Source organism: Homo sapiens, chromosome 16 (genome assembly GCF_000001405.40).
Source record: "Homo sapiens chromosome 16, GRCh38.p14 Primary Assembly".
NCBI lineage: Eukaryota > Metazoa > Chordata > Mammalia > Primates > Hominidae > Homo > Homo sapiens.
Genome location: NC_000016.10, coordinates 63,088,780 through 63,105,710, shown reverse-complemented (window position 1 = coordinate 63,105,710; position 16,931 = coordinate 63,088,780). Strand labels below are relative to the sequence as shown.

Here is a 16,931-nt window from a genome sequence, read left to right as displayed (position 1 = left end):
ACGAAGAATAGAATCATATCATTTGCAAAAACATGAATGGAACTGGAGGTCATTAGTTTAAGTGAAATACCAGGCACACAAAGACAAATATTGCGTGTTCTCACTTATATGTGAGAGCTAAAAAAAAACTGATCTCATAGAGGTAAGGAGTAGAATGATGGTTACCAGAATCTGAGAAAGGTAAGTAAGAGTGGGTGATTAAGAGTGGTTAGTTAATGGTTATAAAAATACAGTTATATAGAAAAAATAAGATACAGTGTTTGGTAGCATAATAAGGTGACTATACTCATCAATAATTTATCGTATATTTCAAAATAACTTGAAGAGTGAATTTGAAATATTCCTAACACAAATATATGATAAATGCCTGAGGTAGTGGATATCCCAGTTACCTTCATTTCATCATCACACATTGTATGCTTGTATCAAAATTTCATATGTACCCCATAAATATGTACGATTATTAGGTATCCATAAAAAGTAAAATTAAAAAAAGAAAAGGCACATGTAAAAAACAAATGATCAATTAAACCAGAATTTGCACTCTTTGAGGGCAAGAGAAATATTTATTCATGCTCCTATCCTCAGCATCTATCGCATTACATGATACATCTTAGATTCTAAAAATATTAGAGAGTTGGAATAATTAGAAAAAGTGCATAAGAAAGAAATGGATCCACAAGATATTGAGCATAATTAAAAGGAATAAAGGGACAAAATCCAAAGGAAAATCTTTGCAGTTGGTGACATTTATAAGGACTACAAGCTATGAGTTATTTTTGAGCTACTTCAGAAATAACCAAGGAGAAGCAAACTAAACTATTGCAAATTGTACTGTTTCTGGGGAGAACATTATTTTGCACAGCTGCAATAAATTCCATCCGGTTTAAAAGGGAATACTCTGATGTCAATTGCTAAGGATCAAATCTCACTGACACACTATCTGTTACCTCAGCAATTAGCCTAAACTCTTCAACAGGCAAAGTTCTCATTTGTAAGCAGTTACAGCAAGGGTTGTAAGGATTGCATGAGACAATGAACGCAACAGACTTTGCTCAGGACTGTGACTTAACAATAGTTTACACAGATGATGCTACTATTTTTATAGATATTATTATTCAAAAGTAATAGCTGAGAGGAAAAAGAAATTCCAAACAGTGAGAGCCAAAGCAGAAAAACAGAAAATAATAGTAATCCAACCCTTTCTGCCAAAGCTAGACACCAGAGAAACACTCAATCTAGCTAGCTCCAGATGCTAAGAAAGTGGTTTGCCTAAGACCTTCAAAGATATAATGGCATAATGAAGGAAGCATGGGTTTTGGAATCAGAAATGTCTGGCTTGGGCCTGGGCGCGATGGCTCATGCCTGTAATCCCAACAGTTTGAGGAGGCCAAGGTGGGAGGATCGTTTGAGCCCAGGAGTATGAGACCAGCCTGGGCAACATAGCAAGACCCATCTCTATGAAAAATTAAAACAATCATTAGCCAGGCACAGTTGTGCATGCCTGTAATTCCAGCTACTCTGGAGGCTGAGGTGGGAGAATTGCTTGAGCCCAAGAGTTTGAGGCTGCAGTGAGCCATGATCATGCCTCTACACTCCAGCCCAGGTGACAGACAAGAGATCTTGTCTCTATCGGAATAAAAATAAATATAAATATAAAGAAATATCTGGCCTGGAATCTTCTTAGGGATCAAGGCAAGCTACTTCATTCCCTCATCTTAAAAATTCAGGAGTATTATCAGAAGTCACTGAAAAACAATAAATAAAGCACATCTTGCACATTTTAGATGCTCTTTCAACCACAGATGTTTTTAATGTAAAACTTAATAGTTTACAACATGACATAGAGAAATAGGATTTGGTTTGAGACATTGCAGAGCAGCCCCAATGCCCTGAGGATTCAGTATAGCAGTATATTCAGCTGAATAGCAGTCCAGTTGAATTTGATTAACTATATGTCCAAATTTGAATATATTTACTGCCTCTCATAAAGTGAATATATGTGAATCCATATATTCACATGCAAAAGTAGAAAGATTTGCAACAGCCAGTTCTACAAGTTTGAATCCTCTAAAGAAGGATAATTCTGTGATGATTTTTAAACTGATTCAGAAGGGAGCATTTTTAACCCAAGCTTGTATTATTTTTATTCACATATTTCTTTAAATTCTCGTAATGTGTGTAAAGTAGTACCACTTTTAATTCATCCTATTCCTAACACACAAAATACCATCAAAAATCTAATGCAAAGGGTTCCTTATGCAAACGCGTTAAAATTCTACCTGGCAGTGATGCTTTTACATATATTCTTGCAACCTATTTTAGGTCAGGTTATCCAGAAGCAGAGCCTAAGATAGGGATTCTCATATACGTGATTTATTTAAGGAACGCTCTCAGGAGTTACTCATAGACGGTAGAGAACACAGAACAGGACAGGGAAGAAGCTAAGCAAAGATATAAGTTCAGCTGAAGTCTCACCTCTAAGAAAAAGTCAATAATCTAATGGGAAACTAATGAATAGTACCATGTCATTGTCTAACCATGAGTTCTCCATATCAGTTAGCAATTGAATACAGCCTGCTCCTGGGAGTGGGACATGACTTCCAGGGCTAGGAGGCTTTGATCATTCAAGGCAGCTCTCCAGAGAAGAGTACGGCCATTAGCTAATGCAGCTGTTATGCACAGAAATGAGGGACAGGTGCACTTGGACAGTAAAGGACATCTAGGCAGGTCTCCTGAGTTATCTACCATAATTCATTCCTTACATTTCTTAGATCTACTTGCTTATCATATTCAGTTCCTTGCTTTCCACCACAGCTTCTCCAAGCTTATGGACAGTTAGTTACAATTTCTGGGTAAATTGAGTCTCTGCTGCTACAGTTGGTCCTGCTATAATATATCTGCAGTTCCACCTCTTCCTGGTTATCAAGACCATTTACACCCACCAATTTGGTAACTACTTTCCTTGCATTCAGGTTTGCTGGCTGGGTAGTTCAATGTGATCGGGTGATTATCACAACTTGAAGTTTGGTGGAACTCTGTGTCATCTCTGGAAACCAGGACTTCTAGACCCACAGAACCTAAAGTTGTCAGGACAAGAAGAGCAAGTTAAGAAACTGGGTCACTGGAAGTGATAGTGAGCAGGGTCTTTTCTTCTTCCCCTTCTTGGTTCACAGGCCTATATATTCAAACCAGTGGGCATATACTGTACCATACTGTGGCCATTGATATAAGATATATATTGTACTGTGAAGGATAGCATCTATTCTCACAGGATAACTTCTCTAATATTGTATCTCAGCTGTGTCTTCTAGAGGTCATTCTGCTAATTTATAAAGTCCAATACTTCTGGGTTGTGTTTATGTTTGGAAAAGACACTGTGAGTACTCCTTGGCAGACCTTAATAGGTAAGTTACATGGAATACATCTGTATGAGTCTTGTCAGGTTGCCATAACAAATATTCTACACTGGAAGACTTAACAGAAATTTATTTTCTGACAGTTTGGAGACTGGAAGTCTAAGATCAAGGTGCTGTCAGGGCTGTTTTCTGGTGAGGCCTTTTCTCCCAGAATATAAATGACCACCCTCATTTTATGTCCGCATGTGACCTTATTTCTTTGTTTGTGCAGTGATAGAGAGAGAGACAGAGAGAGAAAGAGAGAAAGAGACCTTTTGTCTTTTCCTCTTATTGTAAGGGCACCAGTAGTATTGGATTAGGACCCCATACTTATCAAATCATTTAACCTTAAATACCTCCCTAAAGGCCGTATTTCCAGATACAGTCACACTGGGGGTGAGCATCTCAATATGTTAATTTTAGGGAAGACAATTCAGTCCATAACAAAACCTAAGATTTAGAGTAAGACCATGCCATTTGCAGCAGAAAACTATATACCATTCAAAAACATTGCCAGGTATAAAGTAAGAGCCTGGCCAGGAGACATCAAGAGCGCATGCAGCCAGAGCTTCCCATCCTGAGTTGAGTGCAACAGAACCACTAGATAATAATGTGGACCCAGAAGCAGTCTGTGAGATGGAAGGGATAAATCTGCAACTGGCCTCGAATGGCTCCAGTGGCAATAAGTGAGATGTACAAAAAGATAGCCTAGATCCTCATGTCACTCAACACCATTACCCTTTTCTAAGTTCACACTGATGGCCTTTTACGATATTATCTAGTACCAGGTGAAGGGATAGGAAAAACTGTGAGCTTAATTCACAAATAGCTATACACGTATAAATGTTTATGTACATATAAAACACATACACATATACATACCACATATACATATATACATAGTACATATATTCATACTATATATGTGTGTATATATTTATACTTACTATATATATTCAAATATATATATTCAAAATATATATAAATATTCAAAATATATATATATTCCCATTCAACAGCTTTGCCAGCTTTTAAGAGGCAATATTGGTTAAAACAGAAGAGGATGAAGTGTGTTAGATCACCTCTCAAAGCCTCAATTTCCTCACCTTTTTAATGGAAATATTAATCCTTATATTTTACAAGGCTACTCTGAGTATTAATTTAAGTAATATTCATCAGAAAGCATAATAAACCAAGTGTTACATTAAAAACCAAACTGTCAAATTCATATACACTGAGCTAAATCTGTTTGCTCAAAAATTTATCTCCAGTTTCTTCAATATTAGAAGCACTCAATAAATAGCTGTTGAATTATATTAAAATTAATAAATATTAGCAATTATTTCTATGGTATTGAGATATTAATATAAGAAGTTAATAGATTATTTGTTTTTCTTCTACATGATAAACTTTGGTAGTATTAATCTCCTATATCTATTTAAATAAATATGTTTGAAAAACTTTTGTAAATATATCATTACTTTTGTAACTCAATGAGGTTATATTTTTAGCTGTAATTGCATAACCTTTTCTCACTTAAGAGAATTCCAGACATTTACCAAAGTAACTTTCTAAAACAATATCTGAAAGTAGACAAATGAACTCTCACTTTAATTTTGCTTTTGAGAAAAATTTATGAACTAATTATTTGCATTACATGATTTTAGTTAGAACTCTGAAGCAGACATTGCTATTCCTATTTAAATAAACTAATAAAACAGCAAGCAAAGTAAAGTTGTAGCAGATTGTTTGAAAAAAAATGGGTCCAACTATTTTCTTCCCTGTAACCACTTGTTTTTGCTGTATAACCTGGCAATTTGTTTCCCCAAAAGAAATGTTCGTTTCCCCGCCTCTAAAAGTTGGGCTCAACTTAAGACTTCTTTTGTCAACAGAATCAATGGAAGTGACACTGTGAAAAGTTCTGAGTCTCAAATGCCCTTGCCTGCTTCTATTCTCTCTCTGGAGTCCTTGCCTCTGACATTTAAACAAGTCTGGCTTCCCTGCTAGATGATGAGAGCTCAGCTGTCCTAGGCTGAGTACCCACAGATCTGAGTCCAGCCAAGGTCAACAAAGCCACTTATTTGACCCACAGCTAATGCTCAGTACCCTGCTGACACCAGAAGGGCTGTGCATCAGAGTCCAGCATGAATTATCAACCCACTGACTTGTTAGGTTAAATATATAGTCATTGTTTTAACCCAGAAAGGGTGGGTGTTTTATTTTACAGCTAACAGCTAACTGAGGCAGAGATATATGGAGATGTTGATAATCTACCAAAGTGAAACAATGGGTTGGTTTGCGATCAGGAATTCAAGTATGTTTAAGTTTCTGCCCCACTGCCTGAGATATATTGAGAACTTAGAGCCATATCTAGAGTTAAATATTATATAAAACTTCTCCAAATGGTTACATGACTTGTTTCCTCACTTCTTTTAGATTTCTGGTCAATTGTCAATTTTAAAATGAGCCTTTCAAGGCCACCTTATCTAAGACAATATAAAAACAATTATTCTTGCCCTGTTTCATTCATTCTATAGCACTTACCATCACTTGAGTTTATGTATTTGTTTGTTTTTCTGCCTCTCTTAAATCACTACTAAAAGTTAAGCTTTCTCAGGGCAGGATTTTTTTTTTTATTATACGTTAAGTTTTAGGGTACATGTGCACAATGTGCAGGTTAGTTACATATGTATACATGTGCCATGCTGGTGTGCTGCACCCATTAACTCGTCATTTAGCATTAGGTATATCTCCTAAAGCTATCCCTCCCCCCTCCCCCCAGATTTTGTCACCACCAGGCCTGCCCTAAAAGAGCTCCTGAAGGAAGCACTAAACATGGAAAGGAACAACCGGTACCAGCCGCTGCAAAATCATGCCAAATTGTAAAGACCATCGAGGCTAAGAAGAAACTGCATCAACTAACAAGCAAAATAACCAGCTAACATCATAATGACGGGATCAAATTCACACATAACAATATTAACTTTAAATGTAAATGGACTAAATGCTCCAATTAAAAGACACAGACTGGCAAATTGGATAAAGAGTCAAGACCCATCAGTGTGCTGTATTCAGGAAACCCATCTCACGTGCAGAGACACACATAGGCTCAAAATAAAAGGATGGAGGAAGATCTACCAAGCAAATGGAAAACAAAAAAGGCAGGGGTTGCAATCCTAGTCTCTGATAAAACAAACTTTAAACCAACAAAGATCAAAAGAGACAAAGAAGGCCATTACATAATGGTAAAGGGATCAATTCAACAAGAAGAGCTAACTATCCTAAATATATATGCACCCAATACAGGAGCACCCAGATTCACAAAGCAAGTCCTGAGTGACCTACAAAGAGACTTAGACTCCCACACAATAATAATGGGAGACCTTTTTTTTTTTTTTTTTTGTGAGGGAGTCTCGCTCTGTAGCCCAGACTGGAGTGCAGTGGCGTGATCTCAGCTCACTGCAAGCTCCGCCTCCCTGGGTTCATGCCATTTCCCTGCCTCAGCCTCCCGAGTAGCTGGGACTACAGGTGCCCACCACCACGCCCGGTTAATTTTTGTATTTTCAGTAGAGATGGGGTTTCACTGTGTTAGCGAAGATGGTCTGGATCTCCTGACCTCGTGATCTGCCCGCCTCGGCCTCCCACAGTGCTAGAATTACAGGCATGAGCCACCACACCCAGCCGAGGGCAGGAATTTTATGCATTTTGCTCATGGCTTGATTCCTAGGGCTTAGTGTATTCTCAATGAATATTGATTGAATTAATGTATAAATCAATATTCTACAACCAAATTCCCTAATATTCTTAGGGAATTTACCCATAAATTACCCATAGTATCTCTCATATGCCCACTAACGTCCACAGAAGAGACTAAAAATGTGTTCCAATGAACTATCTGATAGGTTGCTAAATATTTTATGGATTATTTTGAAGTTTAGTTTTCTGAGATTGCAAATTTAAAAATTTTTAGGCTTTAATCTTTGAATCACAAATTATTCTAACATAATGTACCTTATCTAGGAAAGGAAGAAAATGTTGTTTGTTTTTACTTTCTTTTTATATAAAAGCTGCATATATAAACCTAAATTTCTTGTTGGTTCCTTAATAAAATTGTGTCTCTCTGGGGTGATAACAGATAGGTCTCAAAATACATAGCAAATTATAGGCCATCAGCGAAAGCCTCTCTTTAAAGCTTTACTTGAACAAATAATGGGTAAAAGGATACGTTCTCCAGATGAATATGATAGATCACAGTGCTTTGGTTAACTGACTTTATAACTTTGGAGAGACAGATCTGGTTGGCTAGAAACACTAATAGATAGGAACATAATTATCACATAAAACCTATAAAACTCAAAATGAGTTGATCTTAATATTGCTGTCCCTCCATGGCCAGTAAGCAAACCTCCATTTTACCAGAGGAATACAGAATAAAGCCATCTGGATTATTGGAGAAAAGAGCATTCAAATGACTTAGATTAACCCAAGCCTTATTTTCTGAGGGAATAGCTCCAACCATCCAGCTAAAAAGGATGTCAATTTAGAACTCAGTTTGATGTAAAGGGATAGAAAAGATTAAGATAATTAATTGGCATCTGACCATGTTTAAAGAGTGGGAAGGTTTAGGATGGAAAACAATCTCAGTAAATTGCATTATAATTATAAGAAGAAAACAGGGTCTATCTCATCGCCTGCAGGGAGCCAGAAATAGAGTCAGTGTAACTTTATGAAGTGCTCAGAGTCTGCAAAACATGATTGCTGTTGCCATCAGTTGAGAAAAAAGTGATATATCAAGGAAGACTATAAATCTAATTTGTTAGACTAGATACCCATAATAAATGTAAAGCTATATATTTGTCTCCTTAAAAAAAAGTCTCTCTGATAGACTGTTTGCAAAAAATAGCCAGACTTTCAATTTCTGTACCCAAGCCCTTTTACAACTTGAGTTTGCACGTTCTCCCATCAAGAATGCCTATTTATCCGCCAATTGAATGTGGAATATCTATGTCTTGATTTGTCTAAAAGAATGAGTCAGATGTGACATCATGCCAGTCGACCTCACAAGGGCATGCAAACTTCTACTTGTTCTGTTCGATCCTCACTGTGCTATGAGAACAAGACTTTCTGGAGTTGACGATGAGAGACTTTTATCAGAGTCCAGTTTTCCCAGTCAAGGCTTTGAATAAGTGAGGACACTCAGCCAGCACCAAAACAAAACAAAACAAAACAGTATGAGCTGATCCGCAGGTGACAACTGATATGTCGGGAGCATTGAGCTCCACAGATAATAATGTATACCAGCTCAGGCCAAAATAACTGCCCAGTTGACCTGCAGACTGTGAGCTAAGAAACAGTTACAGTATTAAACCAGTAAGTAGTTTGTTGGTTTGCCATAAGAATTACTAATTAGACATCTAACATGACAAATTAGAAAGTACGGCCCAAAATTGTAACAGAGGGAAAAAACATTTCAATTCTAATGAAAACAATTTACCATCAGACTCTAGAAAATTTGTGATATTATATGTGGAATAAGGCAAGATGATGAAAAATACCTCGATTTTGGTTAAGATCACAATGGCCACAGATATTCTTATCCCATGCCCTACTCATCTATATTGTAGGAAACTCTATCCTCACAATCTGTTATACCCTAGGACAGTGTCTGTATTAATCAGGGTTCTCTAAAGGGACAGAAATAATAGGATATATGTACACATGAAGGGGAGTCTATTAGGATAATTGACTCACATAATTAGAAGGTGAAGTCCCACAATAGGCCATCCGCAAGTTGAGAAGCAAGAAAGCCAGTCCGAGTCCCAAAACTTCAAAAGTAGGGAAGCTGACAGTGTAGACTGCAGTCTGTGGCAGAAGGCCCAAGAACCCCTGGCAAATGATTGGTGTAAGTCCAAGAGTCCAAAAGCTGAAGAACTTGAAGTCTGATGTTTGAGGGCAGGAAGCATCCAGCACGGGAGAAAGATGGAGACCGGAAGACTCAGCAAGTCTGCCCTTTCCAACTTTTTTTGCCTGCTTTCTTCTAGCCATGCTGGTAGCTGATTACACAGTGCCCACCCACATTGAGGGTGGGTTTGCCTCTCCCAGTCCTCTGACTCAAATGTTAATCTCCTTTGGCAACACCATTGCAGACACACCCAGGAACAATACTTTGCATCCTTCAATCCAATCAAGTTGACACTCAATATTAACCATCACAGTGTCCATTAATATTTCAGGATGCTGAAGGTAACAAATGCATGAAAGTCAACTTTTTAATATAGATCTCTGCTAGACTCTACTCCTAAACCAAATTAGGATCTTGAAGTGTGAAAAAAATAGCATGATACATAGAGTTAAAATAATACAATATCAGAACTTTAGTATCATTTCAAATCTATTTGTCCATGTAGAAAAAAATGGAAATCATACTTGCCTATAAACACTAAGGCACAAATCTAAGAGTTCTATCGATGCTTCAAATCTTTCATGGTTTATTCCATGTTTAGGGAATAGAGTTCAAAATCTGTATTAGGAACTATAGGAATTGTATTACATGGTCTCTTGTCTATGACTGCAGTCTCATCTCCCATTGCTGCTACCAGGTGCTCACATGGATTTCATTTTTGCTTTTTTTTCAGGAGCATGCCACAAACCCCAGCTAATTTTTGTAATTTTAATATAGCCGAAGTTTTGTCATGTTGTCTAGGCTGGTCTCAAACTCCTGGGCTCAAGCAGTTCCATAGTCCTTAGATTACAGGCATGAGCCACTGCGCCCAGTCGCATTTTGTTTAAATTAATTTGCTAACAGTTGGCCGGGCTTCTTCTGTCATACCACAATGACTTTGATTTTGTCTTCATTTTCCTAAAATGCACGTACCTGTCTTGTCTGTCTAGAAAGCTCTTTTCATTCTTTCTGTTACAAATCACAGTGTAACCTGTGAAGACCTCCTAAATCCCCCAGAGAAGTGAAGGGTTTCTTCTGCATGCTTCCACCATACTATGCATGCACTTTAGCTGTAGCATTTTTCACACTGAATTATAATAATTGCTTCACAGATCTGATTCCTTGATTATGGCAACCATATTCCCTATCATTTTCATAACTTCACCTGATCACATAGGGCTAGAAATATATCATGGCACCATCTTTTTTGAATATAGGGATTCTCCAAACTATGCCTTCTGGGTTTCATGTGAACAAGCTACAAAAAATATGAAAATAAAGATGCATTAGCATTTATGATTTTTTATTTGTATGTCTAAAAGGAGCATGGGAGTAGGTGAGCATTTAATGAAAATTATTGAATAATTTAGTGGTGACTGTGAGACCAGCAGAGATGTAGAACAATATAGGATTGATTTCAGATAATACACAGGGGCAGTTAGGACTGTGGTTCTATAGCCTCTTCCTTGATAGGGATTTCAGATAGTCAGTACCATGGGTTATGTGGAATATCACCTTCATAACAAAAGATGTGAATGGAGACAAAAAAATGTGCATCTTTGAAATTGTGCTATCGACTATGTCTAGGTTGGAAATAAAGACATCCTGACAAAAGCATATGGAACTGAGAAGGTCAGCGATTGATATTTTTGCTTTGTACAGTCTCTGCCTGTTTTCTAAGTTTACCTTCCAAGTCAGTCAACAATTATGATGCACTCAAAATCCCCCGAATCACCTCTGGAAGTATAAAGACAGTGCTAGTATGTTTCCTGGCAGGGAGGTGTGTTTAACAAAACAGGACTACTAAAACAAATTAAAATATCAAATTTTCTTTAAAATATATTTAGAATGTCAAAATCCATCTATAAACGTTAAAACGTGTACTTGAGATGCAATTTATAAAAAATCTCAGAATTATTAGAGTTAAATAATTGTACCCCGAGGACCATCTTCTTTAAAGCCTTTATTTTTCAGATGAAGAAAAGGAAGACTGAGACAAGCTAGCTAGACTTAAATAAGATAAATAGGATCACTAGACCTAGACTCGTGTTGATCTTTTTCCAAGAACACTGATAAAAAAATAATGAGCTTTGAAAAAAAATTATAGAATTTGAATGCCCACCAAAAATTTAAGAAGGAAACATAAGAAAATATTAGCCAAATACTACAAAAGCTTCCTATTATACCTAAGGCATCCAGGTTGATATAAGCTGTCTCATGAGCAAAGTCAGTCTTGAGTGGAGTTTTGGTACAAGTACATAATGAAAAGAACTAAAAACTCCAGATGAGCTATAGGAAGTGTACATGTCAAGAAAGCAAACGCTTGAATTATTGACTTGGAAGACAAACATGACCTTTTCTTCTCTTTGTACACAAATCTTTAAATTTTCTCGATTCCTTGTCACGTGAATCACACCTTCAGACACATTCTAGACCTAACCTTTCACTTATAAGGAGAATGACCAGAGATGCTTTTCATAATTCTTTTGAACTTCAGTTTTTATATCCATCTGTGAGACAATAATCACACATGGCTTCTCTCCCATTGCATGGTTATGCTGAAGTTCAGTGAGAAGGATTGACAAACTGAGACAGAAAGGAGCAGTAAGATGCTGGGATTCGGTCCAAGAAGTTTCTTCTCATGTAGGCCAATAATAGAATACTGAAGACAAGAATTTCACTAAATTTAAAATCTTGTCTTAAATACAATTATAATAGCACTAAATTACTCTAACCTTTATTTCATTTGAATATACCTGGTATAATTCATTTCAATACCTGCTATAATAAAAGCAACTGCAGCAACAAAAATTCCTTGAGTCTGTTTATTGTATTCACATCTACTCTTTTATTTGCTCTTCATTGAATATAAATTTGTAATATTACTAGTGATAGAAGAGAAAAAAATAAATAAGGTAAGAACACTTCACCACAATTACAAAACTTATCTGAAACCTTACAATTAAGATTTTAATCCAGATTATAATTCAGGTTTTTCCTTTTATGTCTATATGGTTTTGACTCACATGTATTCTCCAAAATCAATGCATATCAGTCATCTTTAACTAAGCACTTGATATCTTTTATTCTGATCAATGCATTTATGCCAAAAAATTATAATTATAAAATTTGGAAGACTCAAACATCAATACTGTTTGGTTACATAAAAATATTCGACCAGAACATATTTTGAAACATCACACCTACACAAAATGACTTTTCAGTGTTTCCTTACAAGCAAAGTTATTAAATTCCCTGAAGAGGCCATAATTTTTCCATATCAATTCTCAAAATACTAACTTGAAGAATGAAAGGGTTATGCTAATAATGATTAAATATGCAGTTAAAATTGGGATAAATGTTTCAAGACAATAAAAGTTGAAAAGAATCTAAACAGCACTGAATTACACAAGTGTCTGGGGAAATCTATGAATTAAGTATAGATCATCATCTCATAGTAACCTTTGATAGTTCTCATTAAAACTGCAGCAATAGAATCTGTTAGAGGCCTCCAGAGAGATATTATGTGTAAATGCAGAAATTAAAAAATGAATATTAAATGATCCTATTGAGAAATTAAGGCCATTCAATTGTGTTAATGGCAGTAGAGTATAAGATCTATGTTTTCAATCTGTTCCTCTAAAAAGGAAATAAAAATCTGCATCTAATGTACAGATTTAATAAAACAATTCAAATAACATCTATTTTGCATAATAAGATTTGTATAAAGTATTATATAGAATGTGATATATTTATAATATATATAACATGTACATAAACGTACTTACATATATAAAATATTACCTCCTGGGCACTAAACTGGTCATCTTACAAACATAAGTTTACAATGTCAATGATATTCAACTCCGCATTCCCGTTTAGAATAATCTGGTAATGTGCAATTTACCATTTCAGGTCACAGATCTGCACAACATCACAAAATATCAGGATGAACAGGATACTCTATTTGAAAAAATGGGATTTCTAGAGTAAAGAGAATAAAATTAATCTATTTTTGTCACAAACACACATCTGCAGCTTCAGAGAAAATTAAATATAATAAGGCAGCATAGATATTATGCAATTCCATCCGATATTTTTTAAATGTGTAGTCACACCAGGTTCAGGGCTCTAAGTAAGCAAAAGACTATAGGGTTCACTGGGATCAGCAAAGACAGACCCCATTTAAGGAGAAAATATTTGAACTGTGTCATGTAAGGTCATTAGGCACTATCCATACTAAGAGAAGCAGAAAGTTCAAACAAAGGATCATGCAAGAAAATTTTTATAGCGATTGCTCCGTATTTTGAAGGTTTCATCCTAAAAATAAAGCTCTTATTGAGTTCATTTTCCTTATAATGTTTCAATTACTAGATTTAATTGATGATGCAAGTAAGTGCAGTTGAAGATTTTACTCCTGTTTCAATTATTCATGAAGACAGTGGTCATGGTGTTTTCTCCTGGTTCAAACACCTTAGGGTAAATTTTAAGCCCCAAAACACTCTGTATTAGGCTTTCTACTTCTTAGCAACGTTGTAAACATGGCCGTAAAGAAGGGGAGAAACACCTCGAAAATTGCCAGGCAATTATTACCTGAATAAAAGCAACTCACGTTTAGGGCCAAATTATTCCTATCATAGCAAAGTCTCTTTATGAATTTATTATATGAATTTCAGCTCCCAAAGCAAGTTTTATGAAAAGGTAATGTTTATTTTTCTCTTTGTGTAGAAACATTTGGCTTGCCATGAAGCATCTCTTCCTTTGTTGCATTTTTTATGACACTTAGTTTGGGAAAAGCAATTTTAGATGTGAAGTATGTGTAATCGTATTGATGGGTAATGGTAAAACATCAGTCAGGCTTTGGGCCAAAAGTAATCTGTGCGATAAAATAGAAAGCTAAGGCCTTGTATGTCAGCACAACTCTGTTGCTCTCCTCTACCTCAGCACCCAAAGCCAAAATCAACCTATCCACACACTTTCTCATAAATGCATGAGCTATTCTGCATGTGCACTGCAATAATTTATTGAGACTCCCTGCCTAAATACCAGAGGCAATAGGTAGTCAGATGTTCAGCATATAAAAATTTCCTTTGTAAAATATTAGCAGAGCTATAAATTTGTCTGTTCTTTTATATAGTTATGCAAACACAAACATTTAATGTAATGTTAGACACTGGCATAAATGCAAAGCATTTTTTGTAATATTAAGGGGCAGCAGCTATTCCTTTTTCCCACTCAAATGCTCAATCTTTCTTGGTCTTTTTATTCTCGTCTTCCATGTTTTTTGTGTGTCTAAGGACTCTCTGTGTCTCCAGAACAGGAAACCCTCATTGGATATTTGACAAGGGGTCAGGAAACTTTTTCAATGAAGGGCAAGATAACAAGTATTTTAGGCTATGTGGGCCATATGGTCTCTGTCTCAACTACTGAATTTTTCCATGCAAATTAACAAAATATAAACAATGGATGGATCTGTCTTCCAATAAAAGTTTGTTTTCAAAAACAGGCAGTAGACCAAATTTGGCTGATGGGTCAGTTTGCCAAATCTTGCCCATATGTAAGCTTTTGGGGGCTAGATGTTGGTGTCATTTCTTTTTATTCCGGCTTGTACTCAATTACTAGAACAACTTCATTTCTGTCTGATATCATCACAGACTACACTACTTATGACTTTTTCCAGAGTCTGGAATTCCCATGTATCTCCAGCTGATCTGAACCCTACACTGAAAATATTACACTTCTGTGCAAACTTATACATAAATATATAGTTATGCAAACTATATATATATATGGGGTACAAGCACAGAATTCTTACATGCATATATTGCATAGTGGTGAAGTCTGGGCTTTTAGTGAACCCATCACCTGAATAGTGAATATTGTACCCAATAGGTAACTTTTCAATCCTCACCTGCCTCTCATCCTTCCAACTTTTGTGGTCTCTAGTGTCTATTAGTTCAGTCCGTCAGTGTGCACCAATTGTTTATCTCCCACTTGTAAGTGAGGATATGCAATATTTGACTTTCTGTTTCTGCATTATTTCACTTAGGATTATGGCCTCCAGTTCCATCCATGTTGCTGCAGAAGCTATAATTTTATTCTTTTGAATGGTGAGTAGTATTCCATATATGTGTATGTATATTATATATATATGTGTGTGTGTGTGTATGTATATATATATGCCACATTTTCATCATCCATACCTCCTTTGATGGATACTTAGGTTGATTCTATATCTTTGCTATTGTGAGTAGTGTTATGATAAACATACAAATGCAGGTATCTTTTTGATATAATTATTTATTTCTTCTTAGGTACATACTCAGTGGGATTGTTTGGTTCAATGATAGTTCTGTTTTTAGTTATTTGAGACATTTCCATACTGTTTTCCATGAAAGCTGTACTAATTTACATTCCCACCAACAGTGTATAAATGTTCCCTTTCTTCCAAAACCTCATTAACATCTGTTGTTTTTTGACTTTTTAATAATAGATATTCTGACTGGTGTAAGATGATATCTCCTTGTGGTTTTAATTTACATGTATATTATGATTAATAATGTTGAACATTTTGTCATATATTTCTTGTTGGCCACTTATATGTCTTCTTTTGAAAATATCCATTCATAAACTCTGCTCAATCTTTAATGGGTTTGTTTTTTCTTTTTCTCTTCTTGAGCTCTTTTAGTTCCATAGGAACATTTAACAAGAAGGTAAAAAAAAAATCTCTATTAGGAGAATTACAAAACACTGATGAAATAAATCGTAGATGACACAGACAAACTGAAAAGCATCCTATGCTCATGAATTGGAAAAATCAATATTGTTAAAGTAGCCACACTTCTCAAAAAATTTATAGATTCAATGCAATCCCTATCAAATTATTAACATCAATTTTCACAGAAGTATAGAAAACAATCCTAAAATTCATATGAAACCCCAAAAAAAGCCCAGATAGCCAAAACAATCATATGCAAAAAGAACAAAGCTGGGGGCATCACATTGCCTGACTTCAAATTATACCACAAAGCTATGGTAACCAAAACAACATGGCACCAGTGTAAAAACAGACATATGGATCAATGGAGCAGAATAGGGAACTCAGAAATAAGCCATATACCTCCCACTAAATGACAAAAGTCAGCAAAAATATACCCTGGGGAAAGGACACCCTATTCAATACATGATGCAGAAAAAACTGGATAGCCATATGGAAAAGGATAAAACTGTACCCATACCTCTCACCATATACAAAAATTACCTCAAGATAACATGTAAGACCTGAAACTATAAAAATCCTAGAAGAAAACCTGGGAAAACCTCTTCTGTATGTTGGCCTACGTAAATAATTTATTACCAAGTCCTCAAAAGCAAACTCAACAAAAATAACAATAGATACATGAATCTTAATTAAGCTAAAAAGCTTCTGCACAGCAAAATAAACAATCAACATAGTAAAGAGGCAAGTTACATCATAGAAAAAGCATTTGCAAACTGTGAATCTGACAAATTCATTCTTAATTGTGACTCAAGGAGGTTATCAGTTCTATGCTTCATGATTTAGACTTCCCTATTTAGACTTAAATGACCAT

At 35.7% G+C, this 16,931-nt stretch overlaps 1 long non-coding RNA gene across 2 annotated transcripts in view; it reads left to right on the top strand.

Moving 5' to 3' along the window:
- Nucleotides 1-7,013: 7,013 nt before the first annotated feature.
- The window catches only part of LOC105371307 (uncharacterized), a 41,921-nt gene continuing 32,003 nt past the window's right edge, over nucleotides 7,014-16,931 (top strand). Inside the window, exons 1-2 of one of the 2 annotated variants that reach the window (XR_933665.3) lie at nucleotides 7,014-8,768; nucleotides 15,389-15,449. This is a non-coding gene — a long non-coding RNA (uncharacterized LOC105371307). Of the gene's footprint in view, nucleotides 15,450-16,931 lie in introns of both variants that reach the window. The other variant, XR_007065219.1, reaches the window with a different exon arrangement.